At 39.4% G+C, this 21132-nt stretch overlaps 1 protein-coding gene and 1 long non-coding RNA gene across 2 annotated transcripts in view; one reads left to right on the top strand and one right to left on the bottom strand.

The window, feature by feature from the left end:
- The window catches only part of RPS6KC1 (ribosomal protein S6 kinase C1), an 811495-nt gene that overhangs the window by 8035 nt on the left and 782328 nt on the right, over positions 1 to 21132 (bottom strand). The window lies entirely within an intron of this gene.
- PROX1-AS1 (PROX1 antisense RNA 1) overlaps positions 1 to 21132 on the top strand; it is a 166513-nt gene that overhangs the window by 131453 nt on the left and 13928 nt on the right. The gene's annotated exons all lie outside the window — the stretch shown is intronic.

Below are 21132 nucleotides of genomic sequence, written 5' to 3'. Positions count from 1 at the left end.
CATTTATTTTGCAAGTCTGTAAACGTCTTTGAAGATGAAAAATGCTGTCTGGAAAGTAGTACCATTAAATCAGAGGGTGAATAAAAGAGTAGAGAAGGAACTCAAAGAAAGAAAGAAAGAAAGAGAGAGAGAGAGAGAAAGAAAGAAAGAAAGAAAGAAAGAAAGAAAGAAAGAAAGAAAGAAAGAAAGAGAAAGAAAGAGATTATATTGGCCTACAGAGAGTACAGTACTTTGGTACTGAATATTTCCTTTACAAATAAAATGCATGTCTCCTAAAACCTACTCCAAATGGAGTCATAGAAACTCAAACACTAGACTCAGGGGAATTTGCCAGTGGGGAAAGAACATTTTGGTGATATTTGTAATTTAGTTTTCTCATAAAGAACTGGAAAGGAAATTAATTCAATGATTTGTTAAAAGTAGCCCAGAAAATGAGTCGACTGCTACAGTCTCAGAGATTCGTGGGGAATCCAGTTCCTGCTAGAGGCAGCAATCCCCTGGTATGTTTGAGGAGATGAATTATCATATTCTATTTGTGGTTGAGGTAGGGGAGCTGTCCCCGAGGTCCTATCCTGCAGAGACTAACAGGGACTACATCTCCCGCTTTCTTGCCATGTTGACTTTCTGTTTTCAGTTTTCCCCTTCTTTTTCAATTTCACTTTGTTTCTTTGCTTTTGCCTCATCTTACAAAGGGAGATGTGAATCATTTTTAATAAGGGACCATAGGAAGAAATCGCACCAGTCACCTTCTTCTCAATGCTGGTGTTATATTTGAACAAACCAGGGTTATTTGTGGTGAGGACAAGAGAGGCAGTCGAGGGCTGAGTAGAATCCCAAGTGAAGCATGTGGATTAAGGCAATATGTGGTGTTCAGATGAGAGTTTAGAGCATCAGGAGTGAATCCAGTCACAGCCAACTCCAGACTGGCTCAGGCCATCAATCCAACCTGAATCCCCTTCTAGATTCATTGGTAAGATAGCAAAGAACTGTAAGTGATGGTGATAATTATGGTTCCCTTGAATTCAATATCTATTCAATGTGTCTTGAAGAGAAAACAAGTGTTAAGCCAAAGAAATGTAGAAGTCATAGGCATCATTGAAACAAAAGTGGAACAGCAAAACCCCAAAATCAAACCCATGTAAGGGAAGTATGCCTTACATTTCTTCTCACAGCATGGAGTATGCCTTCAATGAAAAGAAGCTACAATTATTTTGTGGTAGATAATAAGTGAGGCATTTTAGATCACATTGTTCTGGATAGCAGCACTTTGAGAAGGTTATTATCCTCATTTGACAGATGAAGCATTTGGGGCTCAAAGGGGTTAAGGACTGTGTGTTTATAGATTCCTCAGGCGCTCATGGTCCAGAGAACATCATGAATCATCTTGGCTCCATAATTTTTGGGGTTACAGATACTTAGAGAGATGGACAGGGGGTGTAGTTACCACACTGGCCTCCACCATGTGGCTGAAGGCCATGGCTTGATTAGTTATTTCTTAATACACATCTGCTGGCTGCAATTGCAAGCCGGGGGTGTGAGCTCCAGGCAGAGGCAGAGGGTGGCAGGAACTTCCAGAGACTTACTGGCAGAGCATAGATTAGCTGTTCTCCCCCTTGACAATTGCCTTGGGCCCCTTGTGTTCCAGAGGGATGGATGATCCAGATGCAAAATAGAGTGAAGATGAAGATACAGATTGGAGAGAAAATGGACTGAGTCCATGGGGAACTTCCTTTGGGATATTCCATGAGCTGGCTGCTCACTCCTTCTCTCTTTCCCAACAAACTACGATGCCCTCAATAAACTATATGTATTTACCAAGCAAATGTGTCACGCACACTTTGAGACTCTTGCGATACTAGCAGAATTAGATATTCTTTCTCTGTGCCCCTAAGATAAATAGATGGTGAATATCACTGTCAGGGTATTTGCTGTGTTACCTGTGTATGTTTGTCTCTCTGCCTTTCTCTGTGTGTGTTCATTGGGAGCTACGATTATGTTGTTATTATCATGAATCTTCGTGTTCCTAATGCTTAACAGAGTGCTTAAAAATGGTTTTTCAATAAAGAAATGTAGTTTTGGATAAAGAATTGAGGAAATGGCCATAACAAGCTTGTGTACTGTTATTTACAGGGAGACAAACAGATCCGAAAACAGATCTGTCGATTAAAAAGGCTGTGACATAAGTCTATGCCAGACTGCAAAAAAAGAAGTAGTAGGTTATTTTTGAGATCATTTAAAAAAGATAAATAGATGGTTTGCTAGATAGTTGGGTGGGGGAGGAGGTTGTAGAAGCATTACCAGTAAAAAAAAAAATTAGGTAAAGATATGTTCACAATAACATAGAATAGCAATGTGGATGACAGAGATGGGGAGATATGAGAAATTTTCTGCGACAAGAACACAGGATGTGGGCAGAAGTTTGGCAAGGGAAAGGTCTAGAGCAGAGAATCTGTATGCCATGCTAAGGAGATTAAACTGTATCTCAAGGGCAATGGAGGCTGTTAGAGGGTTTTAAGCACAGAAGTGATTTAAATAGAACTACTTTTTCTTTCTTTTTTTTTAAAGAAGGTCTCCGTTGATGATTATGTTCAGGAATGTTTGACAAGGTCAAGATCAGGGCAGACAAGTGTTTTAAGGAGAGAGAACAGTGGGCAGTATGTGGGAAAGAAAGCCCAGAGGTCAGAAAAAGCTTGGTGCATAAAAGAGAAAAACATTCAGAGCACAGAGGCTATACCAGGAGTTCCAAGAGAAATGCTTAGGGTCAGAGCTGCGGCAGGGACTGTGGGAGAGAGAAGAATAGCACAGGAGAACTCAAGGAGCGAAGACAGGCTGAATGGAGGCATTGACTGGATGTGCAGGAGAGGGAGAGGCTGGGGTGGCTCCCACGCTGGTTTGAGTGTCTGGGTGGACAGTGATGTCACGTGTGGCAATAAGAGAGTTGGTAGAAGGGCAGATTTGGTGGGGGAGGGACGACTCTGATCATGGGGTTTTGTCCATGTTGTTTTGAGGTGCTGGTGGAAACACAAGTTGAGGTGGTCCAGTAGACAGTGTGAGATTTAAGAGTGGGGTTTGAAATAGAAATGAGAACACTGGAGTCAGCAGCACATAGACGAGTGGAAGTTCAGGAAGTGAATGCGATTACCTGGGGGCAATCTCGCTCAACGTGTCATGAAATAAAAACAGTGCTAAAAGTAAAACCTGGAGTCAAGAGAGGGTGTCAACATTTAAGATGGAGGCAGGGGAAGATGAGCCAGCAAAGGGACTGCTGGGTTTCCACATTTATGACTGGAAAGAGAGAGAGAAAGTAGGGAGAAGATACAGAGATTTAAATCTAGATTGAAGACTTAAAGGAAGGTGAAGTTTCCAAGCCTGCAAAGAGGGAGAGGTTGCTAATACATCAGAGGTAGGTGATACAGAGATGATGGAATGGGTGAAGATGTCTTGTGGTGAAAGGTGATTTTTGTTTTTTGCATGAAACTGTAGGGAAGGGTGTCAACTAGGGAAAGTGGAGGGAGGACTCCAGAATTAGTCATAGATTTTAGGAATGGGAATTCTCACCTTGGTTTTCTCAGTGAAGTAGGAGGCAAGTTTCATTTGCTGAAAGAGGGGGTTGATGATGGGAATGGAATAAGGAAATTGATGAAGAGGTGGACTGGCTACTTTGGGAATGGGGAGAGGCACCTAGAAGGTATAAACACAGTTGAAAATTCGAAGGGCTCCATGGAGTCCCCTGTACCTACTCACTTCCTTGAGGGAAAACATGTTTCTGACTGTCAGAAAATAAAAAAGAAATTTACACAATACATGAAATCAGCTAACTAGATTGTGAAACAGAAATCATATTCTATTTTAAGGAAGTATGAGAATCCACAGAGTTTTTATATCAAGATTAAAAAAAAAAAAAGCCAAGTAAGCTAAGCATTGGGAGATGTTGGGGCTGGAATCACCAGTGTCCAAAGATTAAAGAGGAGAGAAACAACTAGCATGGATCATGGATATAAATCAATGTCATTGTGTCCCCTTAACTAACTAGGGAACAAACACGTAAAAAATACTCTAAGCCTAAGTGTAATGCTAGTAAGCAATATAGGTTTGGAGACAGTAACTTTGAGGCAACACAAATTGAAACAGTTGTGTGGGTGCTTAGTAGCTCATCGGAAAGAGCAATGTCAGACTGTAGATGGCCTGCCTGACCCAAAACAGGGGGTTTTAGTGTCCTGTGTAGCAGGGTAGAACAAAGCCTCCCTCTCCGGAGAAGCAGCTGAGTCCTAAGCGGCAGGCCAGTGTCCAGTTAAAAACATTGGATTGAAAACGTGAACATCCTTTTCACAGTAAAACACACAGTGTCCTGGTAGGTCTATTCAAGACAAAAAATATAAATTGAACATTGATGATCAATTGAAAAAACTCTTTGTGATCTAGTAATAGAAATGTGTTACCTTGATAGGATTTAAGATTTCTCTCTGAAAGCAACAGCCAACATCATACTTAAAAGTAAAATGGCAGAAGCATTCTTATTAAAGGTAGGAGCAAGATAAAGATTACTGTTATCACAATTATTTGTTTAACAATATTCTAAAGTTATAGCCAAAGAAGAGGGGCAGAAAAGAAAAATAAGAAATGTTACTATTGGAGAAGAAGGAAAAATTATCATTCTTTACAGACAATTTGATTGTCCGCCTAGAAAACCCATGAGAATAAACTGAAAAATTATTTGAACTAACTAGAAAGTTTAGAAAGATGATTGGTTATAAAATTAATATAAAAAGTTTACTACATGCAATAAATTATCAGTTAGAAAGCACAATGAAAAAAAAAATCCTGTCCACCAGAGTAATGTAATTTAAAATATTTAGGCCAAAATTTAATAAAACTTTTGCAGAAGCTACATGAAAAATTGTTGGAGAATTTTACTGAGAGACCTCAAAAAACTTAAATAAATGGAAGCTTCTGCTGTATTCATGAAAAGTAAAACATAGTGCAGTATTATAGATCTTGAGAATCCCTGAATAGATATATTAATTTAATGTGATTTATATACAGATCCTCAATTGTTTTATAAAACAAGTTAAAATTATTATAACTTTACCTACACACATGAGTTTATGAAAATAGCTGAGAAAAAGCTTTGAAAAAATGAATGAGGGAAATTGTACCACCAGAGAGCTGAAAAGTATTGTAACTATACATTTGTACATTCATAGGTAGAATCAGAAATAAACCCTAGTATAATTAAGAACTTAGAATATGGCAAAGTTGGAATTCAAATTGGTAAAGAAAGGGTTGATTATTCATTATAGGATAAATGGTAATGAAAGTTACATCCCCTAGTAGCCTAAGTATAGGAGCCTACATGGATTGCCAGGCTCCACCCCTATGGGCGTCTGCTGCTGTTGCTCACCTCCTAACAGCCCCTGTCTCTCACCTCCTGGGCACATCCTCCATTGCTCCTGTCTGTCACAGTGGGAGCCACAGCAGTTTTAGCACCCAGAGGTGACCCAGCTGAGTCCATGAAACCCAAACTTTCTTAGCAGCTGCTTGGAGTGTTTGGGAAACACAGCTCAGAAGTGCAAACTTTAACCATTGCAAGAGAGAGTTGATGACAGATTCCTCACTCCTCATTCCCTCTCTGTGCCACTGGACTCATGCACTGGTTCTGTCAGCCTCTGTTGACATCCTGCCACAGCTCTGTTTCCTGTGAAGTTGTGGCCAGCCCAGTAATGACATGCCATCTTTGATTTTGTCTCCTCCTTCTCTTCCTCACTTTCCCTTTTCTCTCACTCTTAATGCCCCGGGATTCCTCTCCCCTCAAACCTTGAACATGCAAACTTTGCCTCGGGCTCTGCTTTGAAAGGAACTACAATTAAGACCTTCTTCCCTCATACCAAAATAAATCATAGATGGGTTAGAGCATTACAATATAAAAAAAATCAAAAAGAAAATATTAGTTTACTGTATATCTATAAACATCTATGTTATTGAAGTGTGGACAATATAATGTAAGAATTTAGTAGCTTTGACTTTATACAAATCTAAAACCTCTGCAGGTTAGAAATATTATACAGTGTATGAAGGTTCTTGGGGAAATTAATATATATTAGAATATATGTATGGGTATATAACAGTTTTTAAAATATATGTGTGTGTCTATATGTGTATACACATATAGTATATACACACTAGTACATACACATATATACTATATGTGTATATAGTAAAGAATGAATTACTGATATACACATTAACATGAATGAATCTCAAAGTGACTGTGCTAAGTGAAAGGAGCCAGATACAAAGAAGCACATACTGTATGCTTGCATTAATATAAAATTCCAGAAACAGCAAACTAATCTGTAACAGCAAAAAGCAGATCAGTAGTTGCCTGTGGTCAGGAATAAAGGGAGGAATGAATGATATGGTGTACATGAATTTTGGGGTATTTTGAAAATGTTCTATATCTTGATTGTGGTGGTGATTTCACAAATATATATGTTTCTCAAAACCCATTGAATTGTATACTTTAAATAGATGTAGTTAACATTATATAAATTATACATCAATAATGTTAAAAATTATTATTTTCTGTATTCCCTCCTTAATGAGGTCTACCCAATCTGGATTACTGCTTTACTTTTGTATCTTCTTCTACTCAATATTGTGTCGTTATAGAAGACTTAGAGACAGAACTGCAATTGCTTCTCTCTCTTTCTCTCTGTGTGTGTGTATGTGTGTGTGTATGAGAGAAACAGAGAGAATCAAGGAGAAGAGATTAAAGATTTCAAAATGCTAAGGAATTTTTGGGATCCAGAATACAGATGGGCTTCAAAAGGAGTAAAAATAGGACACTGGGAAATTTGAGGTGGGTCCATAAGAGGCTGAGGTAGCCGTGTTTGATGACCTCAAATTTTTCTCAAATATACAATGGCGTCTTCTGAGAGAGGATCCTGGATGGGGCTGGTAGTTGAGGAAAGTAGGGGGTACCATAGACATCAACAAGGGATGCATAAAGGATTCAAGAGAAACAGGAGAGGGTCAAGGGATGGGCAGAACATTTCAGACCAAAGGAACCCTCTGCACACTTTCAGTGGGTTTCAGCCTCACCTGTCCTATGATGTGCATGAAGGATGGTGCTGCTACTGACTACTGATTATCATCTCCATTTCAGTTTCTCATCCAGACCTCACAGATATTTGACAAGGACTTTCAATGTGGAGAAATTAGAAAATGGAGTTACTTATGCCCTGATCATGGATAGGTCTTTGTCTGGTTTTGCTAAGTACCACCACTAAATCTGGTCCCTCTCCAACAGATGGAGGCGTGGTATTCATGGTACAGATCTATCTCCAACAAGCAACCTCCTGGGTCTTTCCTTGCTAAAAGGATTATATTATGTTGAATATAATGTGTCCATTAAGGACCCTTTCCTTTATATTGGTAGAAAATGTAGTCCTGCTAAGTAGAATCCCATGTGCCTACTAAGTGGGATGTGAGGTTGGAACTGTGGCTGTGAAGATCTATGCCAAATAAATTTTATTATAATGACTTTGGTCTGTATCATCAGTCTTCAATAATTGTACTGCAGCAGACATGACTTTCTTCCAGAGGCCAACTGTTAGAATGCATGACATAATAATAATGCCATGATTAATCTGACTTAGCTCTCACTGGAGGGTCAAGAGGTACAAATTCATAGGCTCCTACAACTACTTTAAAATTATACATGGACACAGCATTTGGGGGTGAAGTATCAACCCAAAAATATGTTGTTTGAAATAACACCCAAAGAAAATAAGTGCTTAGATCCCTGGACTCCTATGAAGAGGGAAATTAAGAGCTTATAAATTGGATAAATTTCTGATATTTTAATTGGGGATTTCATAATTTAAGCTTAGGTTGCAGATGCTCATCATGGCATCATTATTGAGACGATTGAAAGATTCCCTTCACACCCTACCCTTACTCTTATTTTAAAAAACTAGATAGAAAATTTATATATGATATAGATGAGTGATATGTTCCAAATATTAGTCTCTGATCTCTGTGCAATCAATTGTGCACTTGATTAGCTTTAATTGCCAGGACAGCAAAAAAGAGCACCTTTACTATATCTTGATGTTTTGTTTTTGATCATGGCTTAGTAGAACTAAAAGAAATTGGCTTCAGGAGAGAGTAATTAGCAAGCTAATTAGTTAAGGTCTGTTTATATTTTTATCGTCAAGGCATTTATTGGTCTTAACTAAAACGTTCTATTTTCTTTTGAGATATTAGGACCCACACAGGAGTGGTGAGGCAATGAAGTGGAGGCGCTGTTAGTGGGGAGCGCATTGGGTATGGAGTTCAGCAGAACTAACTTTAACACTGGTTGAGCTCTACCCTTTTTTCTTTTTCTTTCTTTTTTTTTGAGATGGAGTCTCGCTCTGTCACCCAGGCTGGAGTGCAGTGGTGTGATCTCGGTTCACTGCGACCTCCGCCTCCCAAGTTCAAGTGATTCTCCTGCCTCAGCCTCCCTAGTAGCTGGGACTACAGGCAAGTGCCACCACGCCAGGCTAATTTTTTTTTTTTTTTTTTTTTTAGTTGAGACGGGGTTTCACCATGTTGGCCAGGCTGGTCTTGAACTCCTGACCTCGTGATCCACCTACCTCAGCCTCCCAAAGTGCTGGGATTACGGGTGTGAGCCACCCCGCCCGGCCTGCCCTTTTTTCTTTTAAGCCTTATAAGAAGGAAGCCAAAGAGTCCAAAATGACAGGGGTTATCAGGTGGAAGAGAAATACCCTAGGGGTCCCTAAAGGCATAGGATCCAGGATCTACAGGGAGGAATTAGCTTTGGAGAATACTGTTTTAAGGGTTTTATGTTTAATCCTCACAATAACTCTATGAGGCAGGTATTATTATTGTCCCTATTTTTCACATGTGAAAATTGAGGCACAGAAGGATTATGTAATATGTATTCACAGAGCTAGAAAGTGGAGGAACCAGGATTTTTGTCCAGGCAATGTGGGCCAAAACTCTTGTAGGTGTATTACGATTAGGTAATATCTAGTACCTATCAAAAGTTGCTAATATAATGTCCTTCACATAACAAGATTCTTAATAGGTGCCCCCAAAATGTTACATAGTATTAACTTATTTGGATTTCATAGTAGAGACAAAGTCCATTGGTATCTATAGATTTTAAGGTCTTAAACCAATGACAAATGATAGCAGCATAGGCAAGAAATTAATAAATGTGCTCTTTGTTCTTCTCTACTGTAGTCAGTGTGGTTGATACAGGACCCAAATCAAAGTTAACAGGTGTGTGTAGTGTTGAAAAGCATGGGGGTGAGGTGGCCAGGGAGGAAAGCATTCCCCAAAATAACAAAGGGATGAGATCCCAGTTCTTTGGTTTGCCCTCACAATTTTAAGACAACCAGTTAAATCAATAACTTTGGGGTAGAAGGGGGAAGATTCAAACTTGTTAAACACCTGAAAAAACCAATCACTTGGGTGACAGCCTACAGTCAATAATTGCAAAATTAAGAAAGGAATTTTAACTGATTATTTATTTTCTCACAGACTCTAAATTCCTAGCTATTTTGTTAAAGAGGTTTACTGTAAGAATGAAGGCTAAGCCTTCACCCATGTAATTTTCCTTGTTTTGTCGGAGAGAGTGGGGTGGGGGTTGAAGTGCGGGGGCAGAAGCCCTCTGTCTGGAGGATTGACAAGTTTCTTCAGGCTGAATGCACTATGGCTGTATTTCCCGTAATGTGGGGGTGCTGGGGGGTTCTCAAAGGCTTTAACATGCTGAGGTGTTTTGTGCAGCTGGGGTGGAGGTAGGGAAGGTGTGCATCTGACTTCATACTTTTTACTTTTGCAAGATGCATCTTGCTGGACTAGTTTCTGAAGAACCATACTTAGTGGTGTATTTGCTTAAGAAACTCCAGCGTATTTATAGCCTTTCTCCATTCATATAAAACTGAGCTTTTAAAAATCCATTCTCTTATCAAATTTGATACCTTATAAATGCATCATCACATAAAAAATGCCTGTGATTTTCAAGCAGATTTTTATTTTATCTTATTTCTTGCTTTTTAACATTTTTATCTCTTGCTTGTAACTTTGGGAAGACCATATCAGGGCTTACATAGTTAATAAAAGCAAACTAAAGCAAATAATCACCTTCTAGTACTTCTTTCAGCATATTCTAATTTTTTAATGGAGAAAATGCATTCTTAAATTAAATATGCATAATAAGGAATACTAATAATAAGAATAAAGTGGAATATGTGAGAATGAATCTAGTGTTGTAAGCAAAATGCATTTGATTTGCTAAGGATAAAAGCTGGCTTGAATCAGTAAGAATCAGTGCAAAAAAGAAAAGCCTCATAATGTTCACAAATTGTCCATAATTGTATGAATTTTAAATATAAAAGTTGGCAGTGGCAAAAGCTAAAAGCCATTAGGAGAGTTACTATTGTGCAATGCACCAGGAACAGCAAGTCACAATCTTATGAAAAAAACCCTAGCTAGAGTTTTCTAAAATTTTGATAACCATACTTGAGACTTGTCTTGATGTTTATTACAATGTGTGCATTGTTCAGCATGGCATAGCCTAATGCATATATGAATCATATTTGAAAAGAGCTACTAATTAACATGAATACTCTTCTTCCATGAAGGCCATTTATTGCAAAGTTCTTTTTCTCTTCTTCTTTTTTTTTTTCCCCCTAGCTGAATATCACTAAAGGAGTCCTCAACAACAGCCATTAGTTTGAGAGACTACTCTGCTCTCTTTCTGACATTGGGTCATAGTTTTAAAGAGTCTTTTTCTTACACCAAGAAGCCATAAAAAAATAATATTTAAAGGCCAGAGAGAGAAAGAAGTGAAAAGAACAGAAGGGGTTAGAAAAGAAAGGAAAAAGGAAGATGGGAAAGAAAATCATCTTTCTCTTATTGAACAGTACATCTCACCCCCTAATCTATTCATTAAGTTTTATTCTATTATCAACTTCTTGTTATAGTATTTAAGAATTATTTTGGTGACATGATTACACTTTATTTCCAATGGGGTTGGTCAGGAGATTTTTTTCTTTGAAAACTGTGTTGGCCCATGCTTTTCTAAAATTCACTGGAATGGTCTCTGAAATGTTTTCCAGATATATAGAAGCACTTAGGAACTTTGTTCTACTATTCTGCACTGAAGGAACTTTCAGAACTTTCCAGTGCTTCAGGTTGGGGTCCGGTAAGCTTTTTGGCTTAGTTGTTTCAGGAAACTTAGCCAGGATGAAGAGCTTCCCAAGGCTTGTGGGGAAACAGTATTACCCTATGCCAAAAATGTCTCTTAGCCAACCACCTTCAGTTGGAGTTTTGTTTCCATTTGTAATGGTTGATCTTATGTGTCACCTTTGGCTAGGCTGTGGTGCCCAGTAGTTTCTTCAGACACCAGTCTGGATGTTGCTGTGAAGGTGTATTTTGGATGTGATTAACATTTAAATCAGTAGACTTTGAGTAAAGCAGATTACATTTAAAAATGTGGGCGGATCTCATCCAATCAGCAGAAGGTCTTAAGAGCAAAGACTGAGGTTTCCAGAAGAAAATGCAATTCTGTCTAGAGACTGCAACATGGAAACCCTGCCTAAGTTTTCAGCCTGTAGATTTCAGACTCAAGACTGCAATAACAACTTTTCCCTGAATTTCCAGCCTCTTGTCCTCTACTGATTTGCCAGCCCCACAATCATGTAAACCCATTCCTTAAAATAAATACATAGATTATATATCTCTAGCCTATTGGAGCTGTTTATCTGGAGAACCCTGACTAATCTAATACAGTACACTATTTAAGTAAAATTGGTAGTAAGCATATGGTATGAAAGATGTTCTTTTAACCACTTGGCCCCTAAAACAGAACTGGACTGGGGGCCAAGTTTGCATGATGCAACAAATTGATTAAAGAGTTTATCACTTTGTTATTTTGTCTACTTGATAGCAGATAACCTATTTGATAAACACATACATTATTTTTATTGCTCAATCTGGCTAGAAAAAAATCCAAGATAATTTGTCAACTGCATGCATTTTTCAATGTCTGAAGACCATGGAAGTGTTGTGGGGCTATTAGTAGAGTCAACTGAATCACGCTGGTGAGGATTGGCCTTGGGGGATGTCAGGCAAAAGTTCTCATGCTGAATTTGTAATGTATACCTTTTTATATTATTTTAAGCTTTCAACCAGGTAAGTATTTGACAAGTCAAAATAAAATAAAAGCTAACAGTCCCTGCATCTTGACTCCCCCAAAATATCTCTCACTGCCAGTTAGCCAGTGAAAGGGGCACAAATATGGTGGTGGAGGGGAGACAGGCCCTTAGGTACTGCCTCTCCTGTCTTCCTGATCACCCCATGAATGGACTCAACCTACAAAATCATGTATTTATTGATGGTTTGTCATATACGAGGCACTGTATTGTGCACTAATTTGTTATGGGAGGTTCCTCTTGAGACCACAGTGTTGCAGGAGGCAGTGTCCATAATACAAGGCAGAGTGTGATACACGCTAAAGACAAGGACTATGTGACTGTATGAAATGGAGCGATCACATCCAACCTGAAGATCAGGAGAAACTGGAGCCCTCCTGAGGACAGAGCCCTTGAATTAGATACAGAAAGGAGGTAGGATTTTGGTCAGTGAATGGGTAAAGAGGATTTCCAGTGTAAAAGCTGGTGTAAATAAAAGAGTGGGGGGAAGAACATGAAGATGGAAGTGGAAACACAGGCTGGTCCAGGTTGTCTTGAGCTAACCTGAAGTGCAATTGGGATTGTGATCAGAAGGACAGACTGAGGCCAGGGATCAGAGGGACTGAAATTCCAAGGGAAGTGATTTGGACGGCACTGATGAGTCATTGAAAACTTTTGCCTAGGGAGATGCAGGTTACTTCATAAGCCCTCCTTCACTTCTACTGAACACACTGTCTCAAACATCTTTGCTGGAAAAGTCTGATTTTATCATTAAGAAACTGTTTCCTTAAAAATTGGACAATTCCCCCTCCAAATGGAATCTTGCCCTTGTGCAGAAACATGTCTATGAGGGATAAAACTGAGCAGGGTTGGGAAGGCAATGGTGGGGATTGGGGGAGGAAGTGAGGAGACTCAGAATGAAGGAGTTTCCTCAAATGAATAGTAGCAAGAATGTTGGAGTGTGTTTTCCTGTTTGGGAGGTTTAATTCTTCATGGTTTGCTTGGCTGTCAGAACGCTTCACGTTTTTATTTGTGAACATACATGGTGATCATCCTTAAGACAAAAAATCTCATAGCAGGTCCCTAGATGCTCTTGTTCAGAGCAGATGTTGCAATCAGAGCTGGGCTTTCAATTCTCACCTCTGAGATGTTATAAATTGCATTAAGAAGCATCTCCTCCAATCTTCATGTTTTAAAAACAACTTGCTAGGGGCATGTTGGAGGAAAGAAGTTGCAATAGGCAAACTTAACAGATTTACAGATCATCAAGGCAGAACCATCTTATTGTTGATGCAATCATCCGTAGTTCATGTGACCATCACAGTAGACCAATTCAACAGGGGAGTCAAAAAAAGAAAGATGTACATACTCAGATCATTAATATGGAATGGCTCTGTGGAGCAATCAGGTTCAAAAAAATTTAAACATTTATTTTACTTTTGGGAGACCATAGAGAAGTGATAAAAGCAGAGAGGGGCAGCCTAAAAGACTGTGTCTTTACTTAGAAAACAGTAGAGCTCATCGGCTTGTGGATCCTGAGCTGGGAAAAAAGTTTTCTCTCAATGGGAAAAGAAGTTTTCTTGTCCCACTTCTCATCACAGTGAGATCTCCTCTCTAGCATCCCTAACGTGGGGCCATCTCACCTCTCCCTGAACTCTTCCACAGGCTCAAGTTTGTACATTCCAACTTGTTGTTTGGGCCTTGTTGGACATAACTGAAGTCTGGATGGCAGGGTGAAAATTGGATAAACAGCCACACTGACTCAGGGGAGATTTTTTTTTAATGCAAACATCTGTTTCTTGAATTTGGCCATGGTAAGACCTAAGGGAAGGGGGAATACCAGTTGACGAAATAAGATCAAGAAGATACTGCCTCATTTTTTCTTCTGTTTCAGGGGTATAAATCCTGCCTTCTCTCAGCCTTACAGAGGAAGAAAACCCTTTCCAAGTTTCCTCTGATACTGGGTTTATGCCCAATTATAGTTTAGGTGAGATCATGTGGATGCCTTTTCTGGTACTTTGCTGCACTATAAATATAACCTGTTTTGAAAGAAACTTCATATATGCATATAAAAATATAAACTCAGAGTAAAGATGAGTAGGGCAATCAATACGTGTTGAATGAGCACTCATTATGTGCCCAGCACATACTGAGTGTAGAAGAATGAATCTTTGCACTTATGAAACTTAAAGTTTTGACAGGGAAACTGATAAGTGGTAAAGAACAATAAAAGATAACTTATGACCTTGTATTAAATTGGGAGGTACTTATATTAATATTTATCATTATTTGTGACAGGAGAGGACAGGATGGACTACTGACATTAGAGAAGACTTTGAAAAGGAAGTTTGAATTAATGCAGGCTGTAAGGTGCTGAGAAGCTCCAAGCAGGCAGAACCTAGGCAAGAGGCATTTCTAGTGGGGGAAAGTGCACGAGCTGGCAACAGGAGTTGCTTAGTCGATGTATTGTCCACTTGCTGAGAGTTCATTGTATGGGGGCATTCTTATCCCCATTTACAAATAGGCAGATGAAGCTTGGTAGTAGGTAATTTACAATGGCAACAACAACAGTAATGGCTAACATTCATTCAGCACTGACGATGGTCCAGGAACTGTTCTAGGCTTTTTAACTATTTTAAGTTATTTAAGCCCCACAATAACCCTACTAGATCGGTATTATTCTTATATCTTATTTAGGCATGAAGAAACTGAAGCATGGAGGAAAAACTTAGCAACTAGCCCAACGTCACACAGGCAGTAAGTGGACAGCCTGGATGAAACCCAGGCCTCTCTAGTTCCAAAGCCCATACTGTATGGTAATGAACACCTGAGGAGAAAGGTAGTGTAGTGAGCAAAATGACACTGACCCTGCAGGAGGAATGAGGTTCCGAGGTGGGAGGGGGCGTGCACATGAGAGGCGAGGAGAGGTAGACAGGCATTCTTCTCATTCTCAACTTTTTGTTTTAACTTGTGAGAACCCATAATGAACTTAAAATGCGAGTTTGAATACCAAAATTCAGGGTACATGAACCATTTCAAGACATCACTATGACATAAAGTATGCCTCAAACTCCTTCAGAAAGGAAGGAAACTCATCGGAGTGTTTGGTCTCAAGACATTCAACAATCCTAGCCTTGCCCCAGGGCCAGGATGGCTGGAGAAGAGAGATACAAAAGCAGAGAGATGCACTTATGAAACTTAAAGTTTTGACAGGGAAACTGACACCTCTGTGCATCTCCTTCTCCTCTGAAGTACCTGTTATTAATTTTAAAATATTCCTTGGTTCTCTGGTTTTACCTTCTCCACAGGATTTGATCCCTGGTATTCAGTTACAACATAGGATTATGTTGGTCCTCTTTGCACCTCTCAGTAGAACAATGAACCAACCTAACTGTAAAAGTTACATGATATCAGGTTGTTACTCAGGCCACGTGGAAAGAAGAGAAAGTAATGGCATCAGGAGAGCATTCAGGCTAGACTTTCCTTATTAAAATGCTTTCATCTTACAGACACCATATTGCTAAAATCTCATCATTAGTGATTCATTTCTGTGGATTTCTTCCTATAAGAAAGCCAATAAATCTTCTGCTTTAAGCATCTAATCCAGTGGTTTTAAACATAGAATTTTGACAGAAGAATTAATTTCTCTCTAGTGAATCCTTACATGGAATCTCAATATATGAGATAAAAAAATGAGCAAGTCTGAGGAAATCTGGTGCCAGTAGAGGGAGAGTTCCTCCTGCCAGCTTAGCCTTTGCCTGGTCCTGCGCACCAGCTCCTGAGGCATTCCACAGAATTTGGAGGCTGTAGAACTTCATGTGAAATTTTGCATGCCTCTCATTTAGGTTGCAAGTAACAGGATACCTGACTAACCAATGGCTTAAACAAATAAGGTTTCATTTTTTTTTTTCTCAGAAAAATACAAATCGGAAGGTAGTGGGCTGCTACTGTTGGTTCAGTGGTTCAGAGATCTCAGAGCCAATGTCTTTGTAATTTTCTTACTTTTTGCCTCATGATCTAAAGAAGGCTGCTTCAGCTCCAGCCATCACTTCTTTGCTCAGGGAAAGAAGATGGAAGGGCCATGCCAGCCATATCTGTCTCCCAAAATCAAGAACATAAAGACTTCCTGAAAACTTCCAGTTGGCTTCTGCTTAGGTCTTCTTGGCTTGAAATATGTCACATGGTCATCCCAAGGGTCAAAGGAATCTGGGAAAACAAATATTTAGCTATATTTTCACTTCAAAAAAATACTGAGGTTCTATTCTCAAGGAAAAATATAGGTGTGACTATTGAATAGGTCACTAACTGTGCAAGCTGTAGCCTGATTTTTTTTTCATGAAGAAACACATCACACTTTAAAGTTTTCATGATAAAAATTACACACAAAATTCATTTATACTAGGAAACTAGTGACTTCTCTTTTAATGGGAGCGAGAGAGTAGAGGTTCCTGTCATTTGTACAAATGGTGCTGAAGAGACAAAGGTGTAAAGAAAATGATAGTAAAACGTGAAAGATAAATTACTGACAATTCATTGGGTTTTCCATGCAATTTTGACTGAGTGCACATAAATTCATCTAGTAGGATATGATATTTTCTGGAACAATGAGCCTATATGCAGCTTTGTTTAAAAAAAAAGGTTTGTCTCAAGTGTAAGTGGCATAGCTTGTTTAACAAAATATATTCACTTGATTATTCAGAAAACTGATTTGTTGAAGCAAAATTGAATTTAACAGATACATAATAAAATAGAGGTAAAAGTTAACATAGTAAAAAGTGTCCCATTTGCACATGTGCATGCACACACACACACGCACACACACACACTCAGCTGTAAAGATAAAAACCAGTGCAGGGTGCCTGCTCTATTAATGCCTTTCTGTTAAAAAGTAAATTCTGCTTGTGTGTCTCTCCCTCCTCTTTCTTGGGCAAATAGTCAGGGGACAGTTCTTCATGCCTGTCTTTGGGTACAGTTATGAAACATTTTCAGTGGAGAGCATGAATGAGTGGGGACTTCTGCTGAAAGACAGAACAAAAAGAAATTATTAATCATGTTTCCCTTTGTATATTTACTGTTTTGCTTCTGAAGAGAGTATTAGTCCACTAAGAGCTGCATAATTAGGAGATATGCCAGATGGGTAATCTATGTGATTTTAAATTTTTATAGAGAGAACAGAGTTGTAGCTTGATTTTTTTTCAGAAGGTGCTTCAGTTCCATGCAGTTAAAAACAAATATCTTGCCTTAGAGGGTTACTGTATTCCATGCAATGAGGTGAAATATGTTCTTTAGTCCCCTTTCTATTTTTAAAAAACTGGCCTGTTGGAACAGAGGAGCTGAATGGGCCTACCAGATGGAAGGGAAAAGCTAACCACAGCAGAGATGGGAGCTGGGGCTCCCATTGAGGAACTGCTGGGAGCTTTATTTAATCATAATCATCATTACAAAAAAACAAACAAACCATAAATTCCACTTCTCTTGTTTCCAGACCAGTTGAGATTTAATTGTTCTCTCCATTCTCAGGCTAGCAGAAAATCTAAATGAAGTGCTTCCTGAACTTATATTAAAGCAAACGGGGTAAAATATTCAGCCAAAGAGGTTGCTGATTGGGGTTGGTGACTGAAATCACCAGAGTCCCTGAGGGCAGTGTTTTTGAAACTATGGGTCCTGACACGTTAGTGAGCTATAAAATCAATTAAGAGGGTTCTGAGCACATATAATTTCTTAGCCAAATAGAGTTGGATAGAATAGAGTAAAAAAGAGTAAAAAATAAAAACGTGAGTCACATATGGCAATAGTAGGTATTATTTCAGAAACATTTGTTTCAATAATATATGTATATTTCTATATACATCATATATTTATCAATCAAAAAAGTTTGAAAAAACACTGCTATAGTACCATGTGTGAGAGGACACTTACTCTTTAACTCACATCAATTAGAAAGTGATGTAAGGGAAGGGGGATTTGAGGGGGGCTAGAGTGAGACTGAGAAGAGTGGGAAGAAGAAGAGGAAGGAGATGAAGAGTCTATGAGCTCTTCCCTTCCCTTTTAACACACATCATGGCTCCTAACACATTTAAGTGTGGTTGTGCATGTCTTCAACATTTTCACATAGATATTCTTCCACATGAAGTTTAGAAATGTTTTGCCAGGTTCCTCATTCAAAAACATCATTTGGAATTTGATTAGGGTTGCATTATATTTATAAAAATAATTTGGGGAGAATTGACATCTTTACTGAGTTGAATCTGGTCATCCAATTGTGTAAGATAGGCCTACATGCCTTCTGGTCTTGTTCTGTGTCCCTTAACTCTGTTGATACTATTTTTTATAAAAGCCTTCCATTTTTTACTCTCTTGCTAAGATGACTCCTGTGTGTTTGGCATGTTTTGATTCTCTTGTTTCTTTTCTTTTTTCTGTTTGGACTCCTTTTTCTCCAGGTATATCAAGTTCTCAACTCAGTAAAGATGTCAATTCTCCCCAAATTATTTTTATAAATATAATGCAATCCCAATCAAATTCCAAACAATGATTTTGAATGAGGAACCTGGCAAAACATTTCTAAACTTCACGTGGAAGAATATCTACATGCAAATAATGAAGACACACACACCCACACTTATATGTATTAGGAGCCGTGATGTGAGTTAAAAGGGAAGGGAAGAGCTCATAGACTCTTCATCTCCCTCCTCTTCCTCTTCTCACTCATCTCAGCCTCACTCTAGTCCCCCTCAAGTGAGGAACTTGGCAAAACATTTATAAACTTCATGTGGGAGAATATCTATGTGAAAATAATGAAGTGTGAGCCTGGTACTGGTGCTGTGAGCCTGGAACTGAGAGTTTGGTATACCTGGAGAAAAGGATCTCTTCCATGACATCCTGTTCATGCTATTCCTCTGTGCAGAAAGCCTCTCCTGCATTTCTTGAGGGATGTTAGTGCAGTTATTACTCCTGCTCAGCTGTCCTCCCTGCCAAGTCTGGCTCTCCAGGGGACTTCCGCAGCAGCCTCCTAACTGGTCGCCCAGTGCTTCCTCTCACCTGCCTTCCATCCCCAGCGTAGCCATTAGGGGAGTGATCTCTAAAACATAAAGCAGATGATGCCTCTTCCCTACCTAAGACATCTAATGGCCTCTGTTACCGATTCAAGAATCCAAACATATTTCAAAACTCACAGAGCTCCCTGTGATCAGGTTCCTGCTTACCTCTGTGATCCCATTTCCTGAACTTGTCCTTGCCATTCAAAGACTTCAGCCACACTGGCTTTCTTTTGGCTCCTCAGCATTCCAAGCCGGTCCTGCCTCTGGCTGTTGGCTTTTCCTAGGACACTCCTGCTCCAGATGCTTCCATGACTAGCTCCTTCTTGTCATGTGGACACTGACTGCATTTTTAATTTAATTTCGATTTTGAGAGGGCTTTCCTGAACCTCAATATAAATGGCACTCTTCATACATCTAGTCACCACCCATCATCTACTTTTTAATAGGCTTTATAGTGTCTGGTGTTTTTTCATTTGCTCGTCTATTATCTATTTCCCTCTCCCCCACCTCCCAGCACATACTAGAATGTCAATGAGAGACTTTGTCTTGATGGCTGCGATTTCCCCAGCCCTACGTAAGCACTAAATAAATGTGTGATGCATCCCTGGATGGTCTCAGTGAACTAGGTGCTGTATCAAATACAGAATGCGGAAAACAGTCCTTATCTTCAGAAAGCCTGCAGAGATACTGTGAAAATGACCTGCTCAGTTTTAGGAGATCATTTTGGGGTGTGTGTGTGTGTGTGTGTACGTGTGTGTGTGTGTGTTTGAGAAGGGCTCTATGGAGGTGACCCCATTAGAAATTAACTTTTAAGAATATATTTTAACCATTAGGGGTACCTTTTAAGAATAGGTTGTTAGTGATATATTTTAATTTTATTTTGCAATGTCTTTTGAAGACTTTGCTCTTGGTGAACTAGGCACTTTAGAGAGATACCTAGATGAATTATCTCCATCCTTAAAGGAAAATGCTTTTAGTGAGATAAAGAGACTTATAAAAACATAACAAGGGAATGGATTGGAACAGTGCCAGAGAGGATGCTCCTATGTGGACCAGTTTTGGAGCACTGGAGTTAGGGCTCTACTTGTCCCAGCATTGTGGTGAACAGTCTTTGCTTTTTCATATAAAACCATGGCCAGGCACAGTGGCTCATACCTGTAATCCCACCACTTTGGGAGGCCAAGGTGGGTGGATTGTTTGAGCTCAGGAGTTTGAGACCAGCCTGGGAAACCTGGCAAAACCCCATCTCTACAAAAAATTAGCTGGGTGCATTACCTGTAGTCCCAGCTACTTGGGAGGCTGAAGTGGGAGGATCACCTAAGCCTGAGGAGGTCAAAGCTGCAGTGAGCCGTGATTGTGCCACTGCACTCCAGCCTAGGAAATAATAGAATGAGACCTCATTCCTCCCCGAAAAAAGAACATAATAGACCATTACGAGCCTATCACACTTTAATTTATTTAACCTCATTTTGGGTGAAATTAACATTTTCCATGTGAAAGAGGAATTTTCTTCTAACTTCAGAAGCAAATCTAGAGAATGCATGAGCCTTTCAAAGATAAGTTCTGTGGTATGCTTTAAAAACAAATATGGTGTAAATGAGACTCAAAAGTTTTCCACCCACATGGTAGTGGGCCACCCTGACTTGTCCCACCTCTAGTAGCTGAGACAAAAGGAGACCTGTAGCCCAGCCCGCTACATGCATGCTGTCTCTCACACGTCAGGTGACATTTCTGTGCAGAGTAGCGCCAGGGTGTGGCGGGGTCAGGCCTATCTCCCTTCAGACCCTAAACTATTTACCAGGCTTCCATGTAAATTAAATTTATAAAGAGCACTGAATCTCCTCTGAAATACAAAGACCCTCTGCTGAATGAGTGTGGAGATCCCAGAG

This window comes from Homo sapiens, chromosome 1, assembly GCF_000001405.40.
Source record: "Homo sapiens chromosome 1, GRCh38.p14 Primary Assembly".
NCBI classification, from domain to species: Eukaryota; Metazoa; Chordata; class Mammalia; order Primates; family Hominidae; genus Homo; species Homo sapiens.
This window is presented reverse-complemented; position numbering and strand designations above follow the sequence as displayed.